The sequence below is a fragment of the Homo sapiens genome, chromosome 10 (assembly GCF_000001405.40).
Source record: "Homo sapiens chromosome 10, GRCh38.p14 Primary Assembly".
In the NCBI taxonomy this organism is placed as follows: Eukaryota; Metazoa; Chordata; class Mammalia; order Primates; family Hominidae; genus Homo; species Homo sapiens.
In genome coordinates, this window is record NC_000010.11 from 65,959,746 (window position 1) to 65,978,088 (window position 18,343).

General features: G+C 35.5%; 1 protein-coding gene across 8 annotated transcripts in view; it reads right to left on the reverse strand.

Moving 5' to 3' along the window:
• Positions 1–18,343, reverse strand: part of CTNNA3 (catenin alpha 3) — a 1,851,072-nt gene that overhangs the window by 47,223 nt on the left and 1,785,506 nt on the right. For all 8 annotated transcript variants that reach the window (XM_047425124.1, NM_013266.4, XM_017016152.2 and 5 more), the window contains one exon: positions 6,867–7,001. In XM_047425124.1, coding sequence (XP_047281080.1) covers positions 6,867–7,001 — 135 coding nt within the window. The remainder of the gene's footprint in view (positions 1–6,866; positions 7,002–18,343) is intronic.

The window sequence follows — 18,343 nt, forward strand, 5'->3', positions numbered from 1 at the left end:
GCTCAAGCAATCCACCTGCCTCAGCCTCCCCAAGTGCTGGGATTACAGCCCTGAGCCACCGTACCTGGCAACTCCCCTCTTTATTTGATAAAGGATAGCAGGTGGAAGGCCAAACTGGCTTCATTTCCATGTGAACTGAAGCTGCATCAGGTTCCAAGATCCAGACAATGTCCTGGAGCTTGGCTCTGGTAAAAAATGTCTATCATATGCTATCTCTGTTCATGATCTCAAAAACTTGCTGTGAACTTAGCTTATTTTCTCTTCTAAGCAGTGTTGAGAAAAGTGATTGAGATGTGGACATCCTTATTTTGTTCTATTGCTAAAATGAAACTTGAATAGAGTGCTCATATCTTAATTTTAACAGAAAACTACTCTTTCCATTTTACCAAACATGGGATTTATCAGCAAGAAATTCTTCAACCTTTCATTCATTTCTATAAATGTGATTCTATCTTTTTTTAAGTTAGACTAAATCAATTTTTTATTTATTTTTAAGATTCAGGGGGTACGGCTGGGTGCAGCGGCTCACACCTGTAATCCCAGCACTTTGGGAGGCCGAGGTGGGTGGATCACAAGGTCAGGAGGTCGAGACCACGGTGAAACCCCGTCTCTACTAAAAAATACAAAAAATTAGCCAGGCGCCGTGGGGGGCACCTGTAGTCCCACCTACTCGGTAGGCTGAGGCAGGAGAATGGCATGAACCCAGGAGGCGGAGCTTGCAGTGAGCCGAGATCACGCCACTGCACTCCAGCCTGGGTGACAGAGCGAGACTCCGTCTCAACAACAAAAAAAAAGATTCAGGGGGTACATGTGCAGTTTTGTTACAAGGGTATATAGCATGATGCTGAGGTCTGGGCTTCTATTAATTTCATCTCTCAAATAGTGAACATAGTACCCAACAGGAATTTTTTCAGCTCTTACCCCTCTCCCTCTTACCTTTTAGAGACTCCAGTATCTACTGTTCCCATCTTTATGTCCCTGTGTAATTAATGTTCACCTCCCACTTGTAAGTGAGGACATGTGGTATTTGATTTTCTGTTTTAGCATTAATTTGCTTAGGATAATGGTCTCCAGCTGCATTCATGTGGATGTGAAGGACATAATTAAATTCTTTTATATGACTGCATAGTATGCCATGGTGTATATGTACCACATTTTCTTTATTTAATAAATGTGATTATATCTTAATTCAACTTCATCCTGGCTGAGAAGAAGAGCTCTTTTTTCTTTTTTTCCAAACCTAATCTTTCTACCCGTTCTAACATCACATTCTCTCATTTGCTTGACTTTATTCCATCAGTTGTAGTCTTAATTTTTCACAGGTTCATTCTCTTCTGGTCGCTTTTTTTTCTTTACCTAAACATTTCTCAATTACTGCCACTTTAGGCAGTATATAAATAAAAATGTTAACAAACAAAAATGCTTTTGGTGACTCTGTCTGCTCTGACCCTCAAGTATCTCTTTCTTTCTTTCTCTCTCTTTTATTCCTTTCAACTTCAAACTTTTGGAAAATTGAGTCTGTGCCACCATATTTTATCTGTCATTGCATACTCAGTACTCAACTGATCATGATACAATTTTTGCCTTCACCATAATACTGATACTGCTTTTAAAAAGATATAAAAACACCTTCTAAATGCAAAACCCAATGTGTACTTTTAAGGCTAAGCCAACCTGCATAATTTTGCCGGTTGCATCCTTTATAGTCGTTGGCCACTGCACCATAAATCATGTAAAAATATTCAAGGACTTTATAGTCTAGAGGGGAATATGTGCAAAAATATGACTATGATATGTGTACTGCTGTGATTTTGGTAATCATAGAGGGAATATGATAGAAACTGTTAGCTGCCACCCAATATCCATTCTCTTTTTCATAGAAACAGAACTCTGATTACACTGGGGAAAGCAATGTGCAGGATTAACACACAAACAAACATACAAAATTTATATTTTGTAGCATACCTTGCAGTGAAATATAACAGTATGACTAAGCTCTAGCGAATAGTTTGTAAAAAAAAAAAATTAGTATTTGAAAGGGACCTTCTGGAAGGTCCCTTTCAAAGTGTAAGGAATGTTTGCTTCAGTTTCTCTTTATTCTTACTGCCTGGAATATACAAGTCATTGTTAGAGCCGTATAAGCCATATTTTTGACCTTGATAATAACGAGAGCCGGAAGCCAAGAAAAGTGAAGCTGAAAGACAAAAGTGCCTGATTCCCTGGTGACTTTGTGAAGCTGTCGTAACAGTTCTAGACCGCCCATTCGCAGACTCACTTTATGGAGATGGTAAACTCCCAGTTTGTTTTAACTGCCACAGTCAAGTCTCAGAATCTATAAAGGTACATTGGAATCACTTTGTGAAAAAAGTTGTTTCTGGATCACTGTCTCAGCTATTTTTAAAAAAATGGCATCCAACATATTTTCACTGGATGGTCCCATATACTTCTCTTTCATACCTCTTTCCTAAGTTCCAGAACCAAAGACCCAACTTCTCCTAAACCTTTCTCCTTGGATGCCCCTTGGTCACTTAAATTCAACAAGCAAAACCTGAATGAGTTTCCATACTCACCGTAACATGGTCTTCCTTCTATATACACTGTTTAGTTAACGATGCCATTGTTGACTAAGTAAACTATTTAACCTCAAAACCTTTAGGAAATTCTTAATTCTTTCTTCTTTTTCACCCTTAACACCCAATGGATAATTGCTTCTAAACATATTTTCCTCAGAATTGTTCCTTGTATAGATACACTCCTTTCCATTCTCATCAATATTGCCCTAAGTAAGTTCTCACTGTTTCTCTCTTAGACTAATTTTTTTTTTATTATACTTTAAGTTCTGGGTTACATGTGCAGAACATGCAGTTTTGTTACATAGATATACACGTGCCCTGGTGGTTTGCTGCACCCATCAACCCATCACCTACATTAGGTATTCCTCCTAATGTGATCCCTCCCCTAGCCCCCCACCCCCCGACAGGCCCCAGTGAGTGATGTTCCCCTCCCTGTGTCCATGTGTTCTCATTGTTCAACTCCCACTTACGAGTGAGAACATGTGGTGTTCGGTTTTCTGTTCTTGTGTTAGTTTGCTGAGAATGATGGTTTCCAGCTTCATCCATGTCCCAGCAAAGGACATTAACTCATCCTTTTATGTGGCTGCATAGTATTCCATGGTGTATATGTGCCACATTTTCTTAATCCAGTCTATCATTGATGGACATTTGGGTTGGTTCCAAGTCTTTGCTATTGTGACTAGTGCTGCAATAAACATCTTAGACTAATTTTTAAAAGTCATTCCTAAATAGGTCTCAATCCTTTAGTCCCTTATCTTTCTAATCTATCACTGCTGTGTCTAAAAAATGTTAACTTTGAAATACATAGATTTACTATTGCCATCTCAAACTAAGAAATTGTTCATTACTCTCAATTGCCTACAGGGTAAAATTAAATTATAAATGATCCTTTCAAAACATTCCCAGTTTCCTTTACAAGCTTTTGCTCTACTTGCCCACCCACCCTTATTCCACAAAACACACACCAAAAGTACCAAGGAAAGTTGATTTCAGTCAAATCAGACTGCCCACCATGTCCATAACATTCCATGTCTTCCCTATCTCTGTTTTATTTCAGTTGTCCCCTCTATCTCAAATCCTTTCCCTCTCCTCCTCCTACAAGTACACATTTGTTTTCTACTTATTAACCAAGGCCCAAAACAGGTTTGCGCCACTTATGAAGCTTTCTCTTGCCTGCTCTGCACATCAAATAAATTATTTCCTCACTTGCTATACATGTACATTTTTACATGCCAATGTTGTATGGTTTATTACAGTGTTCTGGAATCTTTTTTGTATATTCAGGTACATTTTATGTTTCTTAATTTTTTATGCATTTCAATATCTTAAGGAAATTATCATATAATCATCTTTACATCCCTCAGATGTACTACTATGCCTTGCACAGTGAGGGGCTCAATTCATAGTAATGGATTTGAATGAACTACATATATTTTGTCTCTATACAGGTAAAACATGCAACTTCAAGATGAGTGCTTGCAATATAGATGTAAGAATGATTGTGGAATAATTTTAATTAAATGGTGTATTATAAGAATATCTCTCAGGTTATTTTATTTTATTAATTCATCTTCTTTATCCTAAACCTTCACACCTCAGACCCAGAACAGAACATACTGCCCATTCACTTTAGAAATGCATTCCGTTCACACCTACTTATTTTTAACCCACTATATTTGGTAAGGCAATGTTTCATGAACCTAATCTTGGGATGCCAGCTTTATTTAGTAAACTTTGAATAGTCTGTAGTTTTGAATACCAAATTTCTGTAATTTTTAGTGTCTCTCTGCTTTGGAATCATGCTTGCCATTTTTCAAGAGATCTTATAGAAAAATGATAGATTAGATCTTCTGAATTTAAAGAATAGGAACAAGACAAGAACTCAGGGTCACTGAGAGATTAAAGTAAGTGTGCTTTGGCACACGTAAATGTAATGTATTTAGAAAGCTTTCTAGGATCTACCTGCAAACAGATGGCAGTAAGATATGCAAAAGGGGGCATGCTCTCCTTTTTCAGATTTATTTTTTTTCTAATGGGGAATAGTGAGTGAGATGATGACAGATAGTTTTGGATTTGCAATGCTCTTCCTCATTTTATATAATGACTCAGCTTTTAAATTGTAAATCATGGATTCTAAATAGCTCCTGCCTAATTTATCTGTAATATATGTAAAGTTCATGAATTTGAATCATTATACCAAACAGGAATGAATTTCTATATATAGAAAGGAAATTGTATTTTGGAAGGATAATTAACACCAATATATTTTAACAGCTATGCAGAGGCTGAACTTCTACCACAGATTTTTTGAAAGCTTAGCGTCATACAACATGAAACTGTATATTTGAAAAATAAAATTTATATGAAATTTAGACCTTACAAAGCACGATTAGTGTGTGAAAATGACAAAAGTAAATGGAAGAGTTTATCCTCCAAATAAACATACTTTTTTACATATTTAAGGCAGTATAATGTTAAATGAGAAAATGAAGACTGGATGTTTAATAAGCCAAAAGGAATATACAGTAGTTAAAAATATGTATACATATTAATACATATGCATCTATACACACATACATGCTGTGTGTATCTATATAAATGTATATATACATACATGTATGCATATGTGTCTATACACACGCATGTTCCTATTTGCATGGCTTGTGACTAAACAAAATGCATTTTTCTCTGAAAAGTGACAGGGCACTAGTAATGCACTCACTGTGTTTATGTGGGATTTTTGATAAAATTTGAATATCAAAGACACTATTTTTCCCCCTCTAACAACCACTGGAATAAAAAGCTAGAATGCAATACCATCTTATAATTTCCAAATTATTCACTTTCGACTTGTGTTTTTCACTTTCATCACAAATTCAGTGTTGTCTCTCTGAACAGAGGAATCATAGACCTTTGAAGGTAAACTCAACTCTGACATTTACTAGTATGACATTGGGAAAGCTATATAAGAAAACAGAACAAATAAATAAGTGATCCATCTGGCATGTTATTGTGAAGATTAACATAAAATATAGGCAAGACATAGACAGTCACTATTTGTTTCCTCCCCTCTACTTTTTTTTTTTTTTTTTTTTTTTTTTTTTGAGATGGAGTCTTGCATTGTCGCCCAGGCTGGAGTGCAGTGGCACGATCTCGGCTAACTGAAACTTCCACCTCCTGGGTTCAAGTAATTCTTGTGCCTCAGACTACTGAGTAGCTGAGATTACAGGCATGCGCCACCACACCCAGCTAATTTTTGTATTTTTAGTAGAGACAGGGTTTCACCATGTTGGCCAGGTTGGTCTTGAACTCCTGACCTCAAGTGATCTGGACACCAAAGCGCTGGGATTATAGGTCTGAAACACCGCAACTGGCTCCTGCCCACTACTTTTGATGGTGATCCTTTGTTTGTGTTTTTGTAATTACATCCTCTTTCAGAACATTAACTCATTGAGGGACTGTCGAATGCCAGGATAGAGAGGCCCTATATGTTACAGACATATAAATATACTAGTGTAATTAAAAAAAATTTTCTCAGAAATATAAATTCCCAGAATATTTATATTGTTTCATTTAAACTTAAATTTATAATCTTAGTCCATGTCCTTCTCAAAGTCACTGATAACTGAATCCAATATAGATATCAAATATTATTTTATTACCATTTCTTCTCCAGAGAAATGATCTACTGCTATTAAAAGATGAGTAGAAAAGGTATACATTAGTTCTACCATGGTAATTTATAGCAGCTTAAAACTCAGGGCCACCAAAGAATTTATGAAAATTCCTCTAAATCTATTAAGTTTTATCATACTCCATTTCTGAAAATATATATGGAAATGAAAAATCTCAAGACATGAACATCTATGTTATAAAAAGAAATAGGGGGAAAATGAATATCAATTAATAGCAGCGAAGCAATCATTTTATTAATTTGCAATTCCACATGCATTTATTTTAGAAAAATTATAGGATTCATTCCGGAGTTCCATCTGTACACATTCTGAAGTCATGCTCTAAATTAACATGCATTTCTTATCCAATTGGCTTATAAAACTTGATTTACTCTTTAATCTCTGAAGTAAATAAAAACAACATTTTTAACCTTTCTTTAAGAAATCTGCTAGTTTAAGATTTCTTGCTAGTTTAAATACATGTACTTTTAATAAAAACTCCAATTTAGTTTTTCTAAACTAATTTTACCTAAAAGATTTGGTCATGTAAACAAGGGTGTAGTTACTCTGTTTCAAGCATCTTCCACCTGTGATCATGTAAGTGCTAGGCAGTACTCACAGCTGACATGATGAGCTCTCCTCCCAGGTTCTGGATCTCAGCTTTAACTTGACTGCAGATTTTCAGTTGGTGGGAGTAGAACTTAATCTGTTCCAGGTAGGCCAACAAGTCCTGTTTACAAGATGGATCTGGGCACTAAATATGAATCAAAGATAAAAATAGATACAGCAGAATAAATAATAGTTAGATCAAGGTGAGTAAATACAGTATTCACATGGCAGGTACCTTATAAAGCAGCAATTTTATTTTCATACAGGACCAAGTAGCTTCTGATATGCTTCTACCATTTACAATAGTTCATTCATTTTGCAACCTTAGTTACTTCAGCTTAGCCAAAAGGAACGTTAAAATAATTATTTTTTTGAGATGGAGTCTCGCTCTGTTGCCCAGGCTGGAGTGCAGTGGCAAGATCTTGGCTCACTGCAACCTCTGCCTCCCGGGTTCAAGTGATTCTCCTGTCTCAGCCTCCCGGGTAGCTGTGACTACAGGCATGCGCCACCACACCTGGCTAATTTTTTGTATTTTTAGTAGAGACAGGGTTTCACCGTGTTATCTAGGATGGTCTTGATCTCCTGACCTCATGATCTGCCTGCCTTGGCATCCCACAGTGCTGGGATTACAGGCGTGAGCCACCACACCTGGCCAAGAAACGTTAAAATAATTTTTAGACATAAAAAGGTATATAAAATAGCTGCCTTTAATTTATGACAAAGGTTAGAAGCCTTCAGATTATATTTTTGGTAAATCTATAGAAATATTTAAAATGTAATTATTTCTTTCACCTAGAATTACTATTAGAAGGCTCCTAGAATTACTATTAGAATGCTGCTTGAGACTCATGGTCTCTACACTGTCTGTCCTGTGCTACTCAAATGGGCATAAACAACATGGAGCAACATAATATGTTCTACTACTTTCAGCATTCAATGTACTTAGCTGTTACAGACAAAGGAAATTATTTCTACCTTAGATAACAGCTGTGAATACAACTGAAGCCAAGAAACAGACAGGACACATGTTTTAGAATATTAAATTTCCTTATGAAAACCAGCCTCCTACATCATTTTATCTTTTCGAAGGAACTTCCTGGAGGACAGCTTTGAGCTTTATCATACCATGGTAAATAGCTTTGGTTAAGATTTAATCTTTGTGTTCTTTCTCCTATGCAATTATAATAAATTTATAAAAATTCCTTCTAATTTAATTCCACTTTTAGTAAATTTTTATAAGAACAAGGAAATGTGGACAGTGATTTATATGCAAAGATCTTCATTGTAGCATTATGTATAATAACAAAATTTGGAAATAACCTAAATGTCCCAAAATAATGGAAAGACTAAATAAGAATGAATATCAATATAATGTAGCATTACTCAGTATCAAGAAAATAGAGTTTCAAAGGATGTGGAAAAATGTTTTTGGAAGTTAAAAAAATCAATATGTAAATATTGCAATCAAATTCTATTAAAAATTGTGTGTATTTAAAACATGCTGAATGCCAGACGCAGTGGCTCATGCCTATAATCCCAGCAATTTGGGAAGCTGAAACAGGAAAATCCTTTGAGCCTAGGAATTTGAGACCAGCCTGGGGAACATAGGGAGACACTATCTCTACAAAAAATAAAAATAAATTAGCCAGGTGTGGTCCCAGCTATTCAGGAGGCTGAGGTGGGAGGATTGCCTGAGCCCGAGAAGTTAATGCTGCAGTGAGCCATGATTGCAACACTGCACTCCAGCCTGGTCAACAGAGTGGGACCTTGTGTCAAAAAATAAATAAATAAAAATAAAAAATAAAATAATAAAACCTGCTGAGACAGCCTGAGCTGTCCATCCTTCCTAGGCATAGATCATGGTGCATCAGGACTCTCTTTGCTCCATACCCAGGCAGATCTCCAGGCACTCAGAGTACCAGCTTGCCTAAATCATCAGGCTGAGCTTCCCTACCCTTTCTGTGCATAGATTGTGGTGTAGCAGGCCCTCTCCACTCCACGCTTGGGCAGATTTCCAGGTATTCAAAGTACATGTTTGCTCAGATTGACAGCCTGAGCCACCCCACACTTTCTCTGCAGGGATCCAGGTATGTAGAGGAGCCTCTCTGCTTCATGCCTAGGCAGATCACCCAGCATCTGGAGTACCCAGTCCCCTGGATTAGGAGTTTAGGCCACCCCAAATCTGTGTGTAGAGAATTTGAGGACAAGAAAGCTTCCCAGCTCCATATCTAGGCACACCTCTTGGTGTTTGGTACCCACTCACTGGATTATGCTTCAGCACCGGTGCTCATGCCTGCCCTTAGGGAATTATAGGCAAACCTGCCAGTCTGGACCTGCCCATCTTGCTCCCAACACCTCTAGGGCTGAGGAGGGAGCTCAGAGCATTTTGCACTACAAGAATAAGCCCATTGCCTGAGGCAAGAAAGAGCTTCTGCTAGTAAACAAGGATGAAGTATACACCCATCGGTATTGGTCATACACACCATCTACAGGCTTGTAGGTGGAACTGAACCGCCCAATATGAAACCTGCTGACAGAAAGGTGTAGGAGTACACAAGTTAAGCCAAAAGACCTTACCCAGCATTCTCTAAAGTCACACTCCCTAGGGAAAAATAGATGGGAAAGGGAAAGGGAAAGAAAAAAAAATCAATAGTATTATAGGGAAAGAAAAGAAAAATTATATCTGCACAAATATAATTACAAAAATTTGAAGTATCAATGCTTCAAGATGAGAAAGAACCAGTGTAAGAATTCTAGCACCATGAAAATTCAAAATGTAGTGATACCATCAACATACCATACTAGTTCTCCAGCTATGGTCCCCAGCAAAGTGGAAACTTGGAAATGACAGATAAAGAATTTGAAGTGTGGATTGCAAGGAAGCTCAATAAGATCCAAGATGAGGTTGAAAATTAACACAAAGAAACTTTTTAAAGCAATCCAGAGAATGAAGGAAGAGATAAACATCTTTAAAATATCAATCAGAGATTCTGGAATTAAAAAACTAATTTAATTTCAAAACACAACTGGAAGCTTCACCAATAAACTGGACTAAGTAGAGGAAAGAATTTCAGATCTTGAAGACCAGTCTTTTGAATTGACCCAGTCGGAAAAAAATAAAGAAAAAGTAATTTTTATAAAATAAACAAAGTCTTTGAGAGATATGGGATTATGTAAAGTGGCCAAACCTAAAAATTAGTGACATTCCTGAGACTGAGAAAAAGATAACAACCTAGAAAAAATACTTGAAGTGATAAATCAAGAAAATGTTTCAAATTTTGCTAGAGAGGTAGACATCTAGATATAAGAAATCCAGAGAACACTTGAGAGATACTATACAAAAAGGAACGTCACCAAGGCATATAATCACCAGACTATCCAAGGTCAATACTAAAGAAAAAATCTCAAAGGCAGCTAGAGAAAAAGGTCAGAAGACACACAAAGGAAATCCCAAAAGGTTAAAAGCAGACTTCTCTACATAAACCTTATTTATAAGCCGAGACAGATTGGAGGCCTATTTTCAGAATTCTTGAAGCAAAGAAATTTCAACAAAAAGTTCATATCCCACCAGGCTAAGCTTTATCACTGAAAGAGAAATAAAAATATTTTCCAGACAAACAAGCACTAAAAAAATTAATTACCATTAGGCCAGTTGTGTCAGAGACCTTTAAGAGAATTCTAAACATGGGGAAAATATAGAGCTGATACCTGCTACCACAAAAACACAAGTACAGAGCCCACAGATCTATAGCGCAATCAAACCATAGAAAATATAAAGCAACCAGCTTACAACTTCATGATAGGATCAAAATCTTGCATATTAATATTATCCTTGAATGTGAATAGCCTAAACCCCCCACTTAAAAGGCACAGAGTGGCAAGTTGGATAGAATAACAACATCCATTCATCTGCTGTTTTCAAGATACCCATCTCACACATAATGGCATCAATAAGCTCAAAGTAAAGGGTTGAAGAAATATCTATCTTGCAGATTAAACTACAACAAAAAAGAGGAGCGGCTATTATATTAGATAAAATATATGTACTTTAAAATATATTTAAAATATAATATATATAACATATTAGGTAAAATATATGTATTTTAAAATATATTAAAATATAATATATAATAGATAAAAAAGACTTTAAACCAACAACAGTAATAAAGGACAAAGAAGGGTATTACATGATGATAAAGGGTTGAATTCAACAAAAAGTCTTAACTATCCTAAATATGTATGTACCCAACACTGAAGCATCTGAATTCATAAAACAAGTACTTCTAGATCTACAAAAAGGCTTAGATAGCCACACGATAATGTTGAGGAACTTCAACAACTCACTAAAAGTGTTAGACATGTGAAATGTTAGTCAATTAAACCTCTCTTTTTTTTTTTTTAATAAATTAGCTAGTCTCAGTATCTTCATAGCAATGTGAAAATGGACTAATAAATTTACTTTTGGGTAAACAATGAAATTAAGGCAGTAACCAAAAAATTCTTTGAAATAAATAAAAATAATAGACACAACATATAAAAATCTCTAGGATGTAGCAAAAGTGCTGTTAAGAGGAAAGTTTATAGCAGTAAACTCCTACCTCAAAAAGTTAGAAAGATCTCAAATTAATGATTTCACATCATGCCTAGAGGAGCAAGAAAAACAAGAATAAACCAACCCAAAAGTTAGCAGAGGAAAAGAAAAAATTAAAATTAGATGGAACTGAAAGAATTTGAGACCTAAAAATTCATAGGAAGAATCAATGAAGACCAAAGTTGTGTTTTTTTTTTTTTTGAAAAAATAAACAGGATCGGTAGACTGCTAGCTAGATTAACAAAGAAAAAAAGAGAGAGGATTCAAATAAGCACAGTCAGAAGTTATAAAAGTGACATTGCAACCAATATCATAGAAATACAAAAGAGCCTCAGAAACTATTGGGAACACATCTGTGCATACAAACTAGAAAATCTAGAGGAAAAGATAAATTTCTGAAACACACAATCCTCCAAGAATGAATTAGAAAGAAACTGAAACCCTGAACAGACCAAAATCGAGTTCCTAAATTGAATCAGTAATAAAACACCCACCACCAACAACAACAAAAAGAGCCCCAGCCAAATTCTACCAAACATACATAGAAGAGCTGATACCAATCCTACTGAAACTATTCCAAAAAATGGAGAAGGAGAGACTCCTCTTTAGCTCATTCAACAAAACCAGCATCATCCTGATAGGAAAACCTGGTAAAGATACAATGAAAAAAATCTCTGATACCAATATCTCTGATAAACATAGATGCAAAAATCCTCAACAAAATATTGGCAAACTGAATTTAGTGGCACATCAAAAAGTTAATTCACTATGATCAAGTAGACTTAATTCTTGGAATGTAAGGTTGGTTTAATATAGACAAATCAATAAATATGACTCACCATATAAACAGAATTAATAACAAAAATCATATGATTATTTCAACAGATGTGGGAAAAGCTTTTGATAAAATACAACATCCCTTCATGATAAAAACCTTCAAGAAACTATGCATCAAAGGAACATATCTGAAAATAATAAGAGCCATCTAAGAGAAACCACAGCCAACATTATACTTGAATGGACAAAAGCTGAAACCAATCTCTACTTGAATGGGCTAAAGCTGAAACCAATCTCCTTGAAAACTGTTACAAGGATGCCCACTCTCACCTCTCTTATTCAACATAGTACTGAAAGTCCCAGCCACAGCAATCAGGCAAAATAAATAAGTAAAAGGTATCCATCTAGACAAATAAAAAGTCAACCTATATTTCTTTGCTGTTGATATGATTTTATACCCAGAAAACATAAAATACTTTACTAAAAGGCTCCTGGAACTGAGACACGACTTCAGTAATTTTTTAGGATACAAAATCATTGTATAAAAATCAATAGCATTTCTATACACCAATAACATTCAAGTTGAGAACCAAATCAAGAACTCAACTCCATTTACAATAGCTGCAAATAAATAAATAAATAAAACACCTAGGCATGCATCTAACCAAGGAAGTGAAAGATCTCTACAAGGAGAACTATACAACACTGCTGAAAGAAATCATAGATGACACAAACAAATGGAAAAATCATTTCAATTTCATCAACTGGAAGAATGAATATCGTTAAAATGGCCATGCTGCTCAAAGCAATCTACAGATTCAATGCTATTCCTATCAAGCAACCAACGTCATTTTTCACAGAACTAGAAAAAGAACTATTCTAAAATTCATATGAAACCAAGAAATATCTTGAATAGACAAGCAATCCTAAGGGGGAAAAAAAAAAAAAAAAAAGAAGCCAGAGGCATCATATTACTTGACTTCAAACTACACTATAAGGCTACAGTAACACACACAGCATGATACTGGCACAAAAACAGATACACAGGCTGATGGGACAGAATAGAGAACACAGAAATAAAGCTGCACAACTAAAACCATCTGATCTTTGACAAAGTTGACAAAAATAAGCAGTGACTCCCTATTCAGTATCTGGTGCTGTGACAGCTGGCTAGCCAAAGGCAGAAGAATTAAACTGGACCCCTATTTTTCATCATCTAGAAAAATTAACTCAACATGAATTAAAGATTTAAATATAAGACCTCCACAATAAGAATCCTTGAAGAAAAACCTAGGCAACATCATTCTGGACATCAGTCTTGGGAAAGACATTATAACTAAATTCTCAAAAGCAATTGCAACAGAAACAAAAATTGACAAGTGGAATCTCTAATTAAAGAGCTTCTGCATAGCAACAAACTATCAACAGAGTACATAGACAACCCACACAATGGAAGAAAATATTTGCAAACTATGAATCTAACATAGTTTTACTATCCAGGATCTATAAGGAACTTAAACAACTGAGCAAGCAAAAAGCAATCCCATTAAAAATGGGTAAATGGTACGAGTTAGGTCATTCTTGAATTGCTACAAAAAAATACTTCAGACTGGGTAATTTATAAAGAAAAGAAGTTTAATTGGCTCGTGGTTCTGCAGGATATACAAGCATTGCGTTGGCATCCACTTGGCTTTGGGGTGGGGGCTCAGGGAATATTTACTCACAGTAGGAGATGAAGTGGGAACAGGTGCACGACGTGGGGAGAACAGGAGCAAGAGGGAAGTGGGAGGTGCCACACACTTTTAAATGACCAGATCTTCTGATAATGCACTATCCTGAGGACAGCTCATCATGAGGAATCTGCCCCTATTACCCAAACACCTCCCACCAGGCCCCACCTCCAACATTGGGGATTGCATTTCAACATGAGATTTGGGAAGGACAAATGCCAAAACCACATCAAAACATGAATGGACACTTCTCAAAAGAAGACATACAAGTGGCCAACCAATGTGAAAAAATGCTCAACATCATGAATAATCATAGAAATGCAAATCAAACCAAAATAAGATACTATCTCACACCAGTCAGAATGGCTATTATTAAAAAGTCAAATACAACAGATGCTGGTGAGGCTGTGGAGAAAAGGGAACACTTTATAAACTATTGGTGGGGATGTAAATTAGTTCAGCCACTGTAGAAGGCAGTTTGGAGATTTCTCAAAGAACTTAAAACATAACTAACATTTGACTCACTCATCCCGTTACTATGTACATATTCAAAAGAAAATAAATTGTTCTACCCAAAAAGACACTTGCATTCATATGTTCATTGCAGCACTATTCACAAAGCAAGGACACGGAATCAACCTAGGTATCCACCAATGGTGGATTGAATAAATAAAATGGGGTACATATACACCATGGAATAACAGCCATAAAAAGGAATGAATGAAATTATGTCTCTTGCAGCAATGTGGATGCAGCTGGAGGCCATTATCCCAAGTGAATTAATGCAGGAACAAAAACTCAAATACCATATGTTCTTACATACAAGTAGGAGGTAAAGAATGGGTAATGATGGACATAAAGATGGCCACAATAGAAACTGAGGATTACTAGACAGGGGAGGGAGGAAGGGAGTAAAGGCTTGAGAAACTAATTATTGGGTACTATGCTCACTACCTGGGTGATTGCATCAATTGTACTTCAAACCTCAGTATCATGCAATATACCCACTGAATCTAAATAAAAGTTGAAATTATTTTTTAGATGCATTAAAGATAAATACATTCTGGACTCTGGGTTAAAAAAAATTAAAAGATGCTGGGAAAGAAATATATGACAATCATCAATAAATGTGATATAATCAATACTTTTATTTTATTCAAATTTTGTATATCTTAAATATATATTTCTTCTATAACTATAAAATGTTATTTTTTAAAGCTTTTATTCTAATGACCTAAACTGCAAATTAAAAAGTAGGATGAACAACCAGAAAACCTTTCATGCATTTCTGCTTTTATTCAGTAATTAATAACTTAAGCTGGAGTGTTTTTGGAAAATTTGTGAGGTACTTATCGTCTTATATTTTTTAAATAGGCTGTGTAGCTCCAGAGTGTGTGCACAAGATGAGAACACATTACCCTGAGTCAAAGTCGATAATAATCAACAAAGGTAGCAAAGAATTCAACTCTTCTGCAGAAATACTATCAATCTGCAAGATAGGCATGGACATATGCATGAATAGATACAGGATAGCCAGACAGAGACACAATCAGACAAGAATATAGAAATTAAGGGTGTTTCTCAAGTTTTCAGTAAGCAAATGAGGGTTATCCCTCAAATCTCCTCAAAAGGATTATATTGTAGCTAATTAAGAAGAAGATTGGAAAGGAGAAAGATATGGAGAAAGAAAAGAAAAAGAAAGAGGGAAAGGAAGAAGAGGAGAAGGCAGAGACAGAGGAGGAAGAACAATAGTTAATTTTCATTTAGCTCTTACTATGTGCCACATGCTATGGAAACTAATTTAGGCATATCTTCTCACTCAATCATTAAAACTGTAAGACGCAAATATTTTCCCCAATTTACAGATGTGAAATTACCTAAAACGATGAAAAACAAGTCATCTCTTTGTTTTCTCTTGACAGGCAGCTGATCTTTATTAGGTACTTCGTCTGTGCCAGGTACTATGCCAAGGCCTTTACATGCATAACTTTAGTACTCAAAGCACCATTTTAATTAGATCTATTATTTTCATTTTGTAGATTTGCAAAGTAAGTTTCAGAGAGAGTAAATGATTTGAATTTAGTTTTCTCTGTTTCATTCACATGCATACACAATAATCTCTTCTATAGGGCATTCTTTCAAATCATTTTTTGTTATTATTGCTTTCACTGAGTAACTTTCTTATCTATTCTTCATTCTTAAGTATGGACACAATGATAATACCTGACATGTAAAGTGTTTTATCTGTCATCTATAATTCTAGATGTTTTGTCTCTACTAATTGTTTTAATAATCACACAACACCCACAGTTTCATGAGGTAAGTGGAATCATTATCCTCATTTAGTGAAGGAGAATATTGACAAACAGAGAGGTTAACTCACTTGCCAATAAATGGTATTAGTGGTAGAGCTCGTGTTCAAACATAATCTGGCTACACCTCCTTACCTCCATGTTCTAGGAACAGTATCAGTCTTCTTGCCAATTTTATCTTTTTTGTAAATATTAAATTGTCATTCTGATTTGTAAGTTGGTTTCTTATTGATAATCTTATTTGTCAATTATAAACTCGATTAATGTGGATTTGTTCCTTGAAGACCAGCACCACTATACAACTCTGATAAAATCAAACTGTCAAACTAGTAATCAGATTCTTGACCAATAACCAATTGCAATCACTCAAGTTTAAGCAAAACATGCTGTCTCTATCAAGAGACTCTTCCAAGGCCACAGTAGAAAAGCCTATAATTCCATTAAGGAAAGAATGAGTCAAATGAGTAGAAAGTGTGAAAATGATCTTTTGAAATTCAAAGTTGCTTGACCTAAATTTACCTTTCATTTTCAGAACTGATGGGAATATCTTGGTTATAACAGAAGCAGTCAGTTTTATAACCAAAGTAAAACAAAATACTATGTGGTAAATTCTTATACTTATAAAAGTTATTAAAGCCTTCTTTCCCATTGACATGCAGAAAGCCTTTCTGAGTCAGTTTTGCTCACTTAGAAGCAGAATCAGGAGAATGCCTCATTCCTACTTTAAGAATATTCTACTATTTTTCAAATCTCCTTTGGGCCACTTTTATGTATTCAGGTCTTTTCCCATTTTTTAATCAGGTTACTTGGATTTTTTTTCTATTGAGTTCTGCATGTTTCTTATACACTCTAGATATTAATTCCTTATCAGATCTATGGTTTGCAAATATTTTCTTTCAAACCATAGGTTGTCTTTTAATTTTGTTGATTATTACATTGTATATCTTAAGTCCTTAAATATGTACAATTTTTACAAAAAAAATTAAATTTAAAAACATCGAACAATGCTTTTCCCACCTTTTAAATTTTTACGTGAAAGTGACAGAAAAACTTCGGTCTCTAGGTTGGTAGAACATTCTTGCCCTTTACTGTTGTTTCTCAAGTAACATTTGCTTTAAAATAACTTTTAAAAGAATACTATTAGGGACTTTTCCAGAACATCTACTTAGTTCCTTAATGCATGATTTTTTTTTAAATCTAAGTTTTATAATCACAGGGACTCACAACATGTAAGCAGATGGCATTTCAGCCTATGTGGTTTTCTCACTTTAAGCCAGTTTTCACGTTTCTACCAAGACGCTTGGAGCCAATATGGAATACATCATTTAGTAATGAGGAAAAATGTAAAAAAAATTCATTACGTTTTAGTTTAAATTTCAGGGGTGAATTAGCAAAACGAACACTTTTCAAGACTTTTATTCCATAATCTTAGTATTTTTTTGCTCATATTGGAGCCTAAACTTTAAGAAATTTAAAATGACTTTTGCAGCCAGGTGCGGTGGCTCACGCCTATAATCCCAGCATTTTGGGAGGCTGAGGCAGGCAGATGACCTGAGGTCAGGAGTTCGAGACCAGCCTGGTCAACATGGTGAAACCTCATCTCTACTCAAAATATGAAATATTAGCCGGGCATGGTGACTCGTACCTATAGTCCCAGCTACTTGGGTGGCTGAGACACGAGAATCGCTTGAACCTGGGAGGCGGAGGTGCAGTGAGCTGACATCGTGCCACTACACTCCAGCCTGGGTGACAGAGAGACTCCGTCTCAAAAATTAAAAAAATAATAAATAAATAAATAAATAAATAAAACGAATTTTGCAATTACAGACAATAGCCTACATTTTGCTAAGCTGGAAAAGTTTGTTAATGAAAAGTACTAGGTGTCACTGTGAATTTCAAAAATAGGAATTTAAAGCGATCAGTGGTAGCAAAAGCACTTGGTGTTCATGACTTTTCCCATCCCACAGGGCTCATTTCTTCACCTGTAATGCCTTGTTTCATCTTGCTCAGGATCACAGATCATCAATGATCTCATCTTTTCCTCTACTTTTAATGCCTTTTTTTTTCTGATTCCTGA